At 56.5% G+C, this 15517-nt stretch overlaps 2 protein-coding genes across 6 annotated transcripts in view, besides 1 other annotated feature; one reads left to right on the top strand and one right to left on the bottom strand.

Annotated features, from left to right (window-relative positions):
* Positions 1–15517, top strand: part of KLHL29 (kelch like family member 29) — a 323428-nt gene that overhangs the window by 291917 nt on the left and 15994 nt on the right. For all 3 annotated transcript variants that reach the window (NM_052920.2, XM_006711929.4, XM_011532501.3), the window contains 2 exons: positions 7304–7442; positions 14579–14781. In NM_052920.2, coding sequence (NP_443152.1) covers positions 7304–7442; positions 14579–14781 — 342 coding nt within the window. The remainder of the gene's footprint in view (positions 1–7303; positions 7443–14578; positions 14782–15517) is intronic.
* Positions 874–15517, bottom strand: part of ATAD2B (ATPase family AAA domain containing 2B) — a 249155-nt gene continuing 234511 nt past the window's right edge. For 2 of the 3 annotated variants that reach the window (XM_047444799.1, XM_006712030.5), the window contains one exon: positions 874–14025. Coding sequence is in view for 1 of the 3 variants with exons in the window: in XM_006712030.5 (XP_006712093.1) it covers positions 14020–14025 (6 nt within the window). In the remaining 2 variants the exon portion in view is untranslated. The remainder of the gene's footprint in view (positions 14026–15517) is intronic. The other variant, XR_001738780.3, reaches the window with a different exon arrangement.
* Positions 11760–12305: an enhancer, noted in NCBI's record as "H3K4me1 hESC enhancer chr2:23911725-23912270 (GRCh37/hg19 assembly coordinates)". NCBI's record gives its function as "activates a minimal SCP1, AML or CMV promoter by ChIP-STARR-seq in naive H9 embryonic stem cells {active_cell/tissue: H9 hESC(naive)}" and the evidence as "EXISTENCE:reporter gene assay evidence [ECO:0000049][PMID:30033119]".

The raw sequence follows: 15517 nt of genomic DNA on the forward strand, positions 1-15517 counted from the left end.
AAAATGTTAAGGAGAAAAATAGAAGCAAATTTTCTATCATCTTAGAGGGCATGAGAATGTTCCAGCTGGAAGGCAGTCTTCAGTCCCACCCGCACCCACTGGTGTGCAGCCCTGGGTCAGGGGCTGTAGGCACGGAGGGGACCTCTGAGGCCAGATATCACTGCTCAGTAAATAGGCCTTGTCATCCAGTGTCATCAGTTTGGAAACAGCAGGCTAGTGGGTGAGGTTGTAACTGTTCCTAGGACTTTGGCTCCCTTTTAGATAAATGGCAGAAATTCCCATTTGGACCACAGGAAAGCCAGAAGGGCTCTTCACTAAAACCCTAAGTCCAGGCAAGAAGTCAGAGTGTTTCATGGTTCCTAGGAGGGTTTGCCTGCATAGGGCCTCAGGTGTCACACGTCCGACTCAGGCTGGACGAGCGACCCACAGGTGCCGCCCGCAGGTGGTTTCATTCTGTCTCACCTGGAAGCTGGAGCCCGCTCTTGGCCTTCAGGGTTTATTCTGAGGCCAACTCTTCTTTGGAAAAGAAGTAGGGGAAGAAATGCATATCTGATCAGACCGGGGAGGGAGGGCAACATTCCGCTTGGGAGGCGCGTGGAGCAGCAGCGGGACGTTCTGTTTGTGTAAAGCCCCCATTTGTCCCCACAGTGTCAGCATGCGTCGCGCTCCCTGCTCCTGGATGAATTACCCTCTGGGCCTGCCTGACACTGTCTTTGCTGGGCTTTCTCAGTATATTTCACAACTGCTCTGAGTTTATAATTTTTTCAGGTCCTTTATCAAATATGTGTCATACATACCAATGGGATGGGAAGCATTTATCACCTAGCTGGGTTCTTACTTGAGCTCTGAAAAAAATGATTTGGCCACACAACCTTTCTCAAGGCTCTGATTTAATGGACTTCTCTGCTGCAAAGCCACTGAAATTCTTTGCCTTTTAATATTTGACATCTCTTCCTCTTTATTACCATCTCATACAGCCCTTATAGGCCAGCCAGAACGAGCCCATTAGTCTCTGACAAATAACTTGTGTCGTTTGGTGAAAAATATGCAGAAGTTTGGCTGCAACTTCATCTCCAGCCTTGGTTCTGTTTGTGGCTTCACTCTCCTCTAGGCAAAGCATCCAGCCCCAGGCAGAGCCTCTTCCAGTCCCCATTCCCTCGTGCCACTTGCCGCTGCATCCACAGAGCCATTTTACACTCACCACTTAGAACCAATGGGGTTTGAGACGGGTCGTTAGAGGGGATATCTGGTCCATAACTCGGGGGTGAGAACTGAATGGGAGCTATGGCCTCAAGAAGCTTTGCTCACTTTCACTCACTCTCCGGGGACCCCTGGCACCACTATCATAGGAATGAGCCTGGGCTAGCCTGTTGGAGCATGAGAGACCACGTGGAGCAGAAATGAGTTGTCCCAGATGAGACATTTAGACCGGCCAGTCTCTGCCAATATCAGCCAGGCCTGACCTAGATCTGCTGAGTGTAGCCCAAACTGCCAAACCAGAGTCACAGTCTAAATAAGTGCTCATAGCAGCATTGTTTACAATAGCAAAATGGTGGCAGCAACCCAAGCGTCCATCAAAGGATGAATGGTTAAACAGTATGTGGTATCTACATACAGTGGAATATTAGCCAGCCTTAAAAAGGAGGGAAATCCTGATGCATGCTACCATGTGGGTGAACCTTAAGGACATTATGCTAGGTGAAATAAAGCCATTCACAGGACAAATATTGCATAATTCCACTTATAAGAGGGTCTAAAATAGTCAAACTCATAGAGACAGAAAGTAGAATGGTGGTTGCCGGGGATGAGTGGAGGGGAGGTGGGGAGTGGTTGTTTAATGGGTGTGGAGTTTCCGTTTGTGAAGATGAAAAGGATTCCAGAGGATTGCCCAACAGTGTGAATATACTTAACACAACTGAACTGGACACTTTAAAATGGGTACATTTTACCACAACTAAAAAAAAAAAAAAAGAATTAGCCTCAAACTGAACTAGCAAAGGTGAAACCAACACAGGGAAAGTTCCCTGAGCACTTGAGTCCATCATCTATTCATGCCTTGTGTATCAGTTAGCTCTTGCTGCTTAACAAACAATTCTAAAATTCAGTGACTTAAAATTGAGTGTTTTAAAAACAGCCACTTATTTAGATTGTGATCCTGGTTTAGCAGTTTGGACTACACTCAGCCAATCTAGGTCAGGCCTGGCTGATATTGGCAGAGACTGGCTGGTCTAAATGCCTCATCTGGGACAGCTCGTTTCTGCTCCACACAGTCTCTCATGCTCCAACAGGCTAGCCCAGGCTTGTTCCTATGGTGGTGGTGCCAGGGGTCCCTGGAGAGTGAGTGAAAGTGAGCAAAGCTTCTTAAGGCCGTGACTCACATTTTCACAGGGTCACTTCCACCACATTCTGTAGTCCAAAGCAAATCACAAAGCCAGCCAAGATTCAAAGGGTAGGGAAATCATCTCCACCTCTTGACGGGGGAAGCTACAAAGAATATTTGCCATCCATCACACCAGATATATATATATGTATGCCAGGCCCTGTGCTGAGTGTCGAAGATAAAAATATGAATAAAACATAGTCTAGTGCAGGAGGCAGACATGTAAATAAATAATTACAACTCCTAGTATCGATAAAGAAGTGAGCACAAGTTGTTCTGCCAGCCTCCGGAGGAGGGCAGAGGGCAGAGGGTGTGGGAGGAAGAGGGGAAGGAGGCAAAGAGGCCCAGGACAAAATAACACTTTCCCTGGTGGTGAAGGATAAATACTGCTTGGCCAGATGGAGGAAGGGGAGGGAAGATCCAGGCGGAGGGGACGGAGACTTGGAGTGGGGACGTGTGTGGGGTGCAAGGAGGCTTCGCTGGGGAGCAAAGGGTCCCCTGGGAGTGGAGGAGGAGCGGAGGGAACGGGGAGACCTCCCAGAGGGCTGTGCTGCCCCTTCAGCCCCGAAGGATTTGTGTGGCCAGTGGCTGTGAGGATGCAGTGTGGAGGTGGCCTGGAGGGGGACAGGCTGGAAACAGGGAGACATCCTCAGAGGCTGTTGCAGTGACTCAAGTGAAAGATGAGGGCAGCTCACTCAGGGTGCTGGAGGGCCTAGGGCAGGAGAGGCTGGATCCTGAGAATTCTAGGAGGTAAAAAGATGGGACTTGGTGTGATGAGGGAGGGGAGGAGTCTGGGGAAGGCCTGCGGATTGCGGGCAGTGGACCGTCTTCCACGGGAAGAGGAGCTCCATGCTGGGCGCTGAGTCGAGCATCCTGGGCATGCAGGAGGAAGTGGGGAAAGGGGCAAAGAGGCCTGGGACAAAAATCTGAGCATGGGGAAGCCACTTCCGTGAGCAAGGCCAGGGTGTGCAGTCCCACAGACGTAGGCGGGCATCCCGCTCAAAGCCGAGGAGACCCAAAAACAACCTCTGGGGCCGACCAACAGGGACAGATGCTGAGGCCAAGTCTTCATCCCACCTGGTAGGCTCAGCTGCCAGGACTCCACTCGCCAGACCCCACCGAGCCTCCATGCAGGGAGGGTCATGGGCTCTCTAGGCCATCTTCTCCTGGGGTCTCTAGGCCATCTTCTCCTGGGCTCTCTAGGCCATCTTCCCCTGGGGTCTCTAGGCCATCTTCCCCTGGGGTCTCTAGGCCATCTTCCCCTGGGGTCTCTAGGCCATCTTCTCCTGGGGTCTCTAGGCCATCTTCTCCTGGGGTCTCTAGGCCATCTTCTCCTGGGGTCTCTAGGCCATCATCTTCTCCCGCAGAATCCTGGAGCAGGATAGTGCAGGGTGCCAGGTGCTTCTGGAAGTCCACTCTGAAGACCCAGCCCCGAGGCCTGCAAATCTCCCACACCTGAGAATAGGCCATGTTGTTGGAAGATCTCCCCAGACCCCGCAGCAATCCCACACACCTCACTTGGAAGCTTCTCAGAGATCAGGGAGTGTCCTTTGCCAAAACATGGGGCAGGGAGGAGGGCAGCCTGTGCCCAGCGGGTCCTGGTGTCCCCTTGTGGATTCTGGGTCTCCCCACCGACAGGCACAGCCTGAGAGCCTAAGCTCCTGCTTCGCCGGCCGGGCAGGCAGTGGGCAGCAGCCCGCACACACCAGCCAATCGATACTAGGAATGCACTTGGGGCCTGCTGGGAATCCCCTGGTGAGCACTTTCATAAATTGAAAAATTCTTCTGAAAGTGAATAATCTTCCCCAACTATTAAATCCAGATTTCCACCAAGTGAGATTCAGAGAGAGCAGAAAGCACCTACATTAGGATGGGGACACCTGAACCTCCAAGCGCCTTCCAGGTCTAGCTCCAGAATTCCTGGAGCAGAAGGTGTCACGGCCGGGGCTGGGGCTTTAGATAGAATCATTGCCGGGACCTCGATTTGAAAGGAAGGTCTTCAGAAACCCTCAGGATGCCTCGGGCCCAGAAAGAGTAGGCATTTGTGTGCTGTTGTGTTTTCCAGGCCCCTAAGCACTGATTAACTCAGCAGGCATGTGGGGCCACATCTGTCACTCTCTGCAGCATGACACCCAGGGGGCTACCAAGCAGGTGTCTCTGCCCTTCTGTGCTAGAGGAAACAGAGGCCCAGAAAGCTGGGGTGCTGGCCCAGGGTCACACACCAATTAGTGGCAGTGCTGGAACAAGAACCAGGATCCAGGTCTTCAGAATCCCAGCCCAGAATTCTGTCCCCTCCCCTACCGCTTCACTCAAAAAGGGGATGTCATCTACCTGGCTCGTGGTTTGGGCATTAATTCGGCTGGTGACTCTTTCTGGAGATACGTGTGAGCATGGCAGCTGAGCCTTATCCAGCCTGGCCCTGCAACTGGCCCTGTGCTGTCTCCCCTCCGCCTGGGCTGTGCGCAGGCGCCGCTGGGCTCTCTACCTTGTCTCTAGCCCAGGCCTCTATCCACCGCCTCCTACCCCATCCCCCAGGTGTCCCACAGGCCCCACCCCACAACTGATCTTCTTGTTCCCTCCCTTCCTGATGTCCCACCACCATCCCCTCCAAAAACCTGTTAGTGGTCTCCATGCCTCCCCCTCCCCACTTCCTTCCTGCACTGAGCCCCACGGGGTCCACACGCTCCTGTTTCTCTGTCCTGCTGTTGCTGTGTAATTCCGGCCTTCTCACCTCTCCCTCGGAAAGACCGTCACCATCAGCAGCACTGCACACTCCCACCCGCTGAGCGCTCCCTGTGTGCCCGCCACATGCTGTCTCATGGAACCTTCAACAAGTGTGGACCCTGAGGCTCTGAGGATGTGGGTCCCCTTTCCCAAGGTCACAGAGCTGATAGGAGGCCCAGTGCAGGTTCACCCTCAGGTCTGGCTTCGAGGCTCAACTCTCTGCACGGCGCTATCTTGCCTCCCATTGGCCTCCCAAGCCACTCCCCATCCTGCCTCTGTGTGGATTTGTCTGAAACCCAAGTCTAACCTTGCCACTTCCTGTCCAGAATCCCCTGTGGCTCCCTGGTGCCCCAGGATGAAGCTGGAGCTCCCAGGCAAGACTGTTGCGATCTGGCCCCGCCCACCGCCTCATTGTGTTCCCTGTTGCCCATGGCCCTTTTGTCCACCTGCACCTGCCCCCTCGTGCTCCTGCACCCTCCCACACCCTCCCGCACCCTCCCGCGCCCTCCCACTGGTGCTCTGAGCCTGTTGGTCTCTGTCTGTAGCTCCCACCCCCCTTGCTCCGGGTCTGAGCTCACCCCACGTAGATCCTTCCTGAAGTCCCAGCCAGAGCCCCCTTCCGCACCCCTGGAGATGCTCTGCTGTGACTCCAGACTCAGTGTGACTTGGGGTTGGCGGGGTCAGTGATTCGGCCTTGCCATGGCTCCCAGAGGGCAGGGCCCCCAACCCCGATCCCTGAACATGCATGTGGCGTGTTCTCCAGGAGCCCCTCCCACCGTCTTCCTTGGTCTTCAGCAGAGCCCAGTGTGTCCTCACCAAAAAGGGCCTGCCTGGCAATCAGGGAGCAGAAGCAGGATCCTCAATCCCCATTTTACAGATGCAGAAGCAGAGGCTCAGAGAGACAAAGGGTCTTGGCCAAGTGTCAGAAGCAGGGCTGGGGCCAGGAAGGAGTCCTGGCGGGCAGCCGGCCCTGGCCCATGTGGACAGCAACAACCAATGAGGCTGGAGCAGGGGCGATGGCCGGTGGGGCTGGAGAGCAGGGCTCAGCTCTGCAGGCCACCCTCTCCCACACACCTGCCAAGGGAAATCGCCTGGCCTGAAGACAGTCTAGGTCATTCTGGCCCAAGGATCAGGGCCTCTGACGCGCAGCTGCCAGCAACATTAAGGGCAGGCTTTGCCCAGGGGATCCTGGGGGCAGGCAGATGAGGCAAGGCTGTTGTGGGGAGCAGTGGTCAACTGAAGGCCCTAACTTTTGCCAATGAAAGAGAGTGTGCAACCCCAACAGGGTGACTGGCAGGCTCTTCCCTCCTTCTCCTTTCTAAGCCTTGGGGTGGGTCTGGGAGAAGCTTCTGACATCCCCAGGTCTGGAGCCCATGGGCCCGGGCACTGTCTGTGCCAGCCCCAGGTCCAAGACACCGGGCACAGGTAGGTGTGCAGCAGAGTGGGAGCCTCCGAGGCCACTTCCTGGGATCTGCCGGGCTGTAAAGCAGGCTCTGCCCCATGTCAAAGCCCCAGGAGAGGGTGGGTGTCCTGAGAGACTCAACTGGGACATGGGAGGAGGCGCAGAGGGTCCCTGTCCCTTGCTTGCTTGCTTTCCCGAAAAGTCCCCACAAGTGTGAAACAGAAGGAGGTGCTTGCCAGGCCTCCCATGGCCCCCTCCTTTCTCGGGGTCTCCTCCCACGCCATGGCTGTGAGTGTCTAACATAAGGGACGCTGTTTTTGCAGGTTTTGTGGTTGTGATTCCTTTGAACCATATCCAGCCCATCTTACATCACAGTGCCATGCTTGACTTGGTCTCCAATACATCGGCACCCATTGGCATTTGGAGAACTTGCTCCGTAGTTATTTGACAGTTTTTAGTTGTCTGTGATAATGTATTCTCTATGTTTCCAATCGTCAGTATGGGAATCTCTCCCCCAACCTTTCAATTTCTGGGTTTGATTTTTTGTATCATATTTGGTTTTTTTGCTTTTTAAAGTTGTGATTCCTTTGGTTATTAGCCCCTCCCAGTGGCTGCTTGTTTATGCATTATGTTTGTGACTTCTTTTGACTGTCAGTGTTGAGCCAGTCTTGCCAAGAAACAATATCAAGTATTTCCTATTTCTCTACTTCTTGAAAAAAGAAAAAAAACTTTTTTTAATTAAAAAAAAAAAAACTCTTAATGGGAACCTGGCCCTGTCTGTCTTCTCTGTTCTGCAGAAATGTTGAAGGAATTGAACCAGCAACGCAGAGCGAAAGCGTTTACAGACCTGAAAATTGTTGTTGAAGGCAGAGAGTTTGAAGTCCACCAAAATGTTCTAGCTTCCTGCAGCTTGTATTTCAAGGACCTGATTCAAAGGTTTGCCTTCCTTCCAGCTGTGGTCGGGTCTGTTCCTTTGTAGGACGCTTTTGTGTCGCTTTTCTCTTCCCCTCTCTTGCAGGTTCCTGAAGCGTGACTCCCTGTCACAGAGCCAGTAGCCATCTCTCCTCCTCCTCCTCCTCCTCCTCCCCAGTACCCTCTCACACACAGCCTCAGAGCAGCCACTGCGCCCAGCACCCGCCCCCACCCACAGCTTTGCTGTCACCAGCTTTGCTGGTCACCAGGGGCCTCTGCCAGCAGTAGACAACACCGTGCCCCACCCCTGAGATCCCAGGTTCTCAGTGGCTCACAAGCTGTCCCTGAGATTAGGGGGGACTGTAGGCTCCATTTTAAGGGATCACTACACACTGCCCCCACCGGGCCAGAGCAGGATCCCCAGTGCCATCGTCCCTGCTGTCGGTGGTGACTAATGCCAGGAAAGCGCATCGGCCAGGCTGTCCCTGCTGAGGAGCACAAGGTGCCCCCGGGGCTGCTTTTCCCCAGCCCAAGTAGGGGAGAAGAGACTTGTAGCAATGCCTGGGCCACACTGCATGTCTGATCCTTGTGCAGTGAGCCTAAACCGGCGCTGTGGAGCATAGACCAGGTGTGTCCTAAACACGGTCTCTCTCAACCCTTGCTCCCTCCCTCCTGCCCTCTGCCCTGGCTATTTCTACCTGAATGAGTCTTATTGGTGCATGAGCATCTTTTTTTTTTTCCTCCATTATGTTGATTTTTTAATTTGTCTGCTTCATACCTTTGCAAAGAAGTCAGGGGCCACCTTCCAGCTCCGTAGTAAGGGAGAGCAGCCAAGGGGCCAGCCCAGGGTAACGCTCACGTTTCTCTCAGCCCTCAGCAGATTAACGCCGCTGCTCCTCTTGCCTTGCAGCCTCTCCGGGGCAGACGCTGAGCCGGGACTGTGCTCAGAGGGAGGACAGGACCTCTGCTTCCCAATGCCGTGTTTGGACTTGCCAACTAACCCCGGAGTGACTGTGTTTTGTTTCAGGATGGATCCCTGGCTGGCATCTCCTCTCCGATCCGGCCTTTCACATAGAGCCCAGCTGCCCTGTGGGCAGGCTCTGGCTGGCCACATGCCGGCCCTCAGCCTCGCAGGAAGGGGCAGGCTCTTTGGGACTTCCCATCTCATGGACACCTCAGGTCTCCTGCCCCCGGTGCTTGGGCTCTCTCTGTCCAAGCACAGGGGTTAGGGGCATGTGGTCTGGGGTGAAGGGACATGTCTAGTGGCCTCACCAGGCCAGGGAGGACTCTGTGCTGCCACTCTTGACAAATCCTGGACAGCAGGGGCCCGCATCGGGCTGCCGGATCATGGATGAGCGTCCTAGGGTCTTGGGCCTGGCTCCAAACCAGCTAGAGAGGACAGAAAGGGGGCAGGTCAGTGCTGAGCGGCAGCCTAGTCCCCAGCTAGAACGTGGTGGGTGAGAGGAGCACAGGGCCCTCGGATGGCTTTCAGAGACCGCACATTGAAAGCCAGACTTGCACACAACAGAGAAGAACACGTGCTAGGAGGGAACCCAAAGTAGTGAAGGCTTCTTGGGCTGAGAAGAGGGAGGAAGAGCATTCCAGGCCGGGGATGGGGCATGAGTGGGGAAGGGCAGGGTGGGGCAGATGGCCCTCCAGAGGGGGCTGCACTGGGGCAGGCAAGCCCTGACCCCATGCTAGGACCTGGGCATGGTCTGAGGTGGGTAACTTCAAGAGCAGTGGGGAGGGGACGCCCACCTGAAGGAAGGAGAACAGTAGGATGTGTCTCGGTGGCCCTCATCAGAAAGGATGGGGCTGGAGGAGAGAGGACATCCCCACCTTGGCAGGTAGGAGACCTGGGTCCTACGCCTGACTCCGCCGCTTGTCTTGTGACCTCAGACTGGTCACGTCCTCTCCTGCGCCCTGGGCTTTCTCATCTATAAATCAGGAAATTGGTTCAAGTGATGCCCAGGTCTCCTTGCAGCTCTGACACCTCCGGGGGATGGGCAGAGGATGGGCAGGACCAGGACGGAAAGGCAAGCACCAGGACCCAAGGAGGTGAGGTGTCACGGGCATCAGAGGTCACGGGCATCAGAGGTCACAGGGAGGAGAGCAGGTCCACAGGCCAGTGTCGGGAGAGCTGGGGAGATGAGCAGTTGACCATCTGGTGTGTCAAGCTGAGCAGCCTGACGGACGCCCAGGTCCCCAGGTTGGGCCACCTGTAGGCAGCCAGGTGCATGGAACTGAACCCAGAGAGGTCTGAGGTTTGTAGAGATGGGGCTGGGGGGCCTTCAGCATACAGTAAGGTCACACAGGAAAAAGGAGGGGAAGCCAAAGCCAAGCCCAGGGTGCCCTGTGGCTGAAAGTCGCCGTGTTCGTTTGCAGCCACAGAGCACACATGACCAAGAAGTGCCTTCTTGGGAGGAAAGCCAAGTCTTTACAAGAAGATGGCTTCCTTTCCTGCCGTGTAAAATCATAGAGAATTTCACATTCTTGGTGGTCAAGAGAGAAGCTGATGTAACCATGTCTTTTCAGTCCCCTTGGCATCCGTGACCCTGGAGACTTACTGTGCAGTGGCCGGATTGGCCCAGTGCAGAGCCATGGCCCTGCCCTTTGACCCCAAGCAGTGGCTCCACGCTCAGGCAGCTGCACTCTTGTAAGGGGAGGGAGTAGGGACCTTCTCTGGGACCTCTGTCCTGGTGTAGACCTCCGTGGGGATCAACATTGGCCCTCCCTGGGTGAGCCCTGCCAGGGGCAGGTGATCCCTCCCTGCTGTCCCCGCATCCCCAGGTCTGGAGGCTCAGACTAGACTCCCACCACCAGCCTGGGACAGGTGATGTGTCCACCACTCCAGCCCCAGGGAGGACAATGACCCAGCACCCAAGCCTGGCAAGGACGGTGCCTGCCAGACCCAACCCCAGTGCAGACGCCCTGCCCCACAGCCACAGGACAGAATGGGAATTCAAGTCACTCACTGGCTCGTCACTCAGCAAACACACAGGAGCCCCTCCTGGGGCCGGGGCTCACACCAAACACCAGCTGAGCCCACAGTCTGGTGGGGACACGCTGCAGACAGGCAAGGAGACGAGCAGAGACGATGCTTCAGAGACTTGTGGTCCAAGGGCCTGGCTGTGGGGGAGGGTCATTCAGAGAGGCTCCTTGGAGAGGTGGCATCTGATGTGGGTTATGAAGAATGGGCATTGTCCGGGCAGACAAGTGGGGAAGAGCAAGGTCGAAAGGCGGGAGGGGGTCTCAGGTCCCACAGGTGACTCCACGTTGCTGCAGGGCCGGGTATGAGGGTGGCTTGCAGGGGACGCGGCTGGAGGGAGGCTAGACCTGGGTCACAGGAGCCTGGGGGCGTTGCGACCAGATGTGTGTTTTGTAAAGATGACAGTCAGACCATGAGCGGGAGAGCTGGGTCTCAGTGTCCTCTCCCAGCCTGCGGCCGAGTCCCTTTGGGCTTGGCTGCCCCCCATGGCCATGCAGAAGGGTCCCGGCAAAGTCCTGCCCAGAGCCCCACACCCTTCACCCTCTTCCCTGAGCATGTGTGGGTGGCAGCACCTCGGTAGAGTGGACAGGTGTGGCTTGGAAGCCAGATAACGAGACTCCCATGTCTCATCTTGGATGCTGGCACAATGGCGTCACCCACACCTGTCACCAAGTTACCAAGGGTGGGCCTGAGCCACACAAATCCCCAAGACCCAGGGAGACTGGGTGCATGCCCATGCGTGTGTCCTGCAGCTGATGACACGCCCAGGCGTTCATTCATGGGCGGAGTCCTCTCTTCTGAGCAGAGCTGGGTACCAGCCACCTGCCCCATGCCTGTCCCTCACCCACCACTGCCCATGGATTCCTCTCATTGCTCCAGACAGTGCCCAGTTCCAACTTGCAAAATGAAAACATCTGATCTCTGAGGTGCATGAGGGTGGATGAGGGCCTCCATCCTGATGTCTGGAAGGAAGGGCATTTCTAATCCTGGATGAGTCTGTGGCTAATGGTGGGATTGCAAACATTCTAGTAGTTGGGCCTAGCCATTCCTCTGCTGAGCAGAGGCTGCGTCCCGGACTCTGGCCTCTCCTGGGCACCCCCACGCCCAGAAGTAGGTGACTCCAGGAAGCTCTGGTCTTCTGACAGACCCCATGGGGCCTGTGTGGCTGGGGAGCACCAGCCTGCCCTCACTCTATACCCCACCCCCCTGCGTCAGCTTCATAGAGAGGGTTAGTGCTGCCCGTCTGCCCTGCTGCAGTCCCTCCAAAGCCACATCATGACCTGATGGGCCAGCAGCACCCCAAGCCATTCACTCCATGGGGCCCGGTAGGACAGGACAAGAAATGGCTTGGGGCAGGGACAGAACAGCCACCTGTGGAGGACGCAGCCCTCGTCAGCGACCAGGGTCACCCATCACGGGGGTGTCCCCTCTGGGGTCCCTGTTCAGAGAGAAGAGGCCTAAGGAGCACTGGGGTCCAGTCCCAAGACAGTCTGATGTCCAGGGATACAGAGGCGCCCCCACCCCCTCACAGCTCTGCAGGCCATGCACGAAGGCCTGTGTGGATGAGAACCGTGTGTGTTGGTAAGAGGCACAGCCCTCGCCCTCTGGGGCCTCGCCTCCTCTTTGAACTCAGATTCTGAAAGAGCCCCCATCACATTCCCCTGTGCCTCTGCGGCCTTTCCCTGCAGATCATCTGCCCAGCGGCCCCCTCCACCCCACAGGTGACCCTCACAAGGGGCCAGGAGGAACAGAGCCACAGCCATGCCTCCTGTGGCCAGGGGTCCTCCTCAGTCTAGACAGCACCTGCGATGCTCCACGGCACCTGTGTCCCTCCTCCTGTGCCTGGTGGCCAGGACCCACTCCCTGGCTCAGACTGTGGGCAAGACAGGCAGCACCCCTCAGGGCAGCCATGTGAGTCCCATCGCACCTGTCACTCAGCCATGGACTGTCCGTCTGCCCAGCACCCCTCCCCACCGGGGGACTTCACGGCTCTTAGGGTCAGTGCATATGTGTGCGTGTGCATGTGCTCGCACATCCTGAAGTCCCCCTGGGCTCAGCCCTTCACTGGCTTTGAGCTCCTCTGCCTGAGGACTCCTGGGTGGACAAGTGGGCTGGCCAGAGGTGAAGGCAGCAGTGACTGGGGGCCTCGGGAGAAGGCTGTGGCCCAGTGTGACCTCCACAGGGCAGAAAGGGCATGCAGAGGAGAGGCTGGACAGCGGCTTGTAGGAATGAAGTCCCAGGCAGCAAAGACAGGAGTACGAGGTTGACCAGATGGCTCTGGGGCCGGGGGTGTTGAGGATTTCTGTGATTTTAAGTGATCACGTAGTGAATTATTTTTACGCTTAACAAAGCCACCGAGGTATGGAAATCCATCCTGACAGCAGAAGACTAGGTGTGTGAATTCACTTTAGAAGTCACTCTGTGTTGGGGGGTTTGGAGGGGCCTCTGTGGAGTCCACACCTTGCCCCCTCTGCCTTCTGGGCTGGCCCCGGGCTTGGAGGCAGAGGCCCCTTGGGGTCCTGGTGGGATGAGCCGTTGTGTGGGGAGGGCCTACTGTGGCCACGCTGGGAGAGAGGCTGGACGCCAGCTCCGCAGCAGGATTGCACCTCCCCCTCTCCTCCTGGCCATGCCTGTGCTGAGGCCCTGGGAGGGCGGTGCCTGACCTCAGAGAATGTCGCTCTAATGGTGGAATTTCAGGTACTGCCACGTAGGGAAGAGTCTCGTGGGAAGGGCATTTTCCAGCCTCTGTCACAAAATCTCCAAGGGAATTCAGACCTCATCTAGTTCCATCCTCTTATTTTGCAGAAGAGGAGGCTGAGGGCCCGGGAGACCAAGGCTGCCCACCTGTGGGTGGCAGAGCCCAGGCACCCAGTGCCCCCAGCTCCCTGCCCCCTGCTCTTTCCGCCCACCCACACACCCAGCAGCTGGCCTCTCTGCGGCCAGCCTGCTCGCTTGCTGGACACCTCGACAGCCCCACCGCCAGCCGCAGGTGCGCGCAAGGGACCCGTCACAAGCATCTTGCCCTGTGGCCTCCTGAGAAGCGAGTGAGTGGACCACAGAGGTCATTTCCCAGCCACGTGGCCAGGCCCAGCCCGAGGCAGGACCGGGCTCAGGGTGGGAAGCAGGGCTACTCAGAGGAGCCAGGATGGGGCGGCCAAGCCGACGGCCTGCGGGGCCGCCTCCGGACTCCTAACGCGGCAGGTGTTTTTACTCCTGCTGTCACTTATGTATCAGTGTCACTCTTGCTTCATCTTATCTGTTTCCTTCCAGGTCCAGCTTTAGGGGCAGCTGCCAGGCCTTAGGAGCCTTTGCAATGGTTTTGTATTCCTGTAGACACCAGATATAAACAGATTTATATATTTGTGTCCCTCCCCTGCTCCCCCCAGTTCCCCAGCCCGACGCACACTCTACACGCAGGCCACTCTGACCTCTGACCCCGTGTTCCATGTGGCAGGAGGGCCCGCCCCGGGCCAGGCCCCAGGTCATGGCTGCTGGCTGTCTGTGGCGGAAGTCCTTGGTTGTTTCCTCTCCCCTCCTCCCGGCTCTCACCATTCTGTCCGTCTATCTCGTCTTGTCCTCAGTTTCAAAGCAATGTCACGAAGGGCTTCCTTTTCATGCCTAAAAGGAAACAATATGTTTTTGGAAAGAGGTGGGGTTGGAGCGGGTTCTGGGGCAACTTGGGGCCCTCGGTCCTGGGGCGATCAGAGGATATCTCTGGATTGGCTGGCATCACAGCCAGTTGGGAGCCTCCCAAGCCTGGGTCACGTTGGAGAATCTGCCACCCAAGGCAGGCAGGGCCGGGCTGGGATGCGTCGGCCTGCTTTGGTGGAGACACCAGGGCCTGCAGTGGGCTGAACCGTATTGTTTCCCTTTGAGGCCAGTCCTGGTCCTCGTCCCCATCCATAGCTCATGCTTTTTGATTTGCATCTTTTTTTGCATGGACATGCCGAGTAGTGATAAGCAGGGTTTTCTGTTCTTTTGGGCGTCTCTGGTCAGACTCTTCTCTTTCAGATCCCGTGTCACAGCATTAGGTTCAGGTGTGTCATTGCCGTGTCCTTTGAGCCCTAAAACCAAGGGCATGACCAAGGTGTGCAGGGAGATCTAGCCCTGTGAGGAAGCGGCACGGTGGCCGCAGGGCAGGAGGTAAGGACACCCTGGTCTCTGTGCCTAGGTCCGTGCAAGACAGCGGCCAGGGCGGCCGGGAGAAGCTGGAGCTCGTCCTGTCGAACCTGCAGGCAGACGTCCTGGAGTTGCTGCTGGAGTTTGTCTACACGGGCTCCCTGGTCATCGACTCGGCCAACGCCAAGACACTGCTGGAGGCGGCCAGCAAGTTCCAGTTCCACACCTTCTGCAAAGTCTGCGTGTCCTTTCTCGGTGAGCCCGGGGGCCACATATGTCGCTTGGGGGGAAGAGTGCAGATGGGCGGAGAACTCCATAAACAGCAAGGACTGAGCGGGGAGGTCTGTGTGTGCACACCTGAAGCTCCCTCACATGTGGCTGAGTTTGGCAGGGCTGTTTTAAGATGGTAATTCAGATAACTACATGCAAAGGCTCTCTTTCCCTGGCATGGAATGAAGAGGACTCCGTGTCATTTCTCTGTAGGTGGGAGAGGCATACTGTGCCCCGCCAGGCCTTGTGGGAACAAATGGCACCATGAGGGCTGTGCATGTGCTCTGTTTGTGGGGAAAGGCTATGGCCCTGGCCTCACAGTCCTGTTCTCTAGACCCTGAACAAAGCAGCCCAAACTTGCCTTCCCTTTACCTTATTCATACCTGGGCTGCCTCAGATGTCTGTCCAGGTCTAGACATCTGAACTGTCCCTTGAGTACCCAGATCTGCTGCCCAGGATGGGGACTGAGTGTCAGGAGCTCCCGGGGGGGTCGCTGACCCGAACAACATGCTGCCTTTACGCTTGATGCTACCCCGCATGGGCGACGGCAAGGTGAGGGAGGGACAAAGACGAAAGCCCCCAAAGAAGCAGTGGCCTGGGGTGTGGAGTGCAGAGAGAAAGCCAGAGCCCAGCCTAGAGATGGGGCAGATCCGTGAGGACAGAGGGGCACCAAGCAGTCTCGAGGTGCCAGGAACCACGATGGCAGTGAGGCTCGCGCACA

The sequence above is a fragment of the Homo sapiens genome, chromosome 2 (assembly GCF_000001405.40).
Source record: "Homo sapiens chromosome 2, GRCh38.p14 Primary Assembly".
NCBI classification, from domain to species: domain Eukaryota; kingdom Metazoa; phylum Chordata; class Mammalia; order Primates; family Hominidae; genus Homo; species Homo sapiens.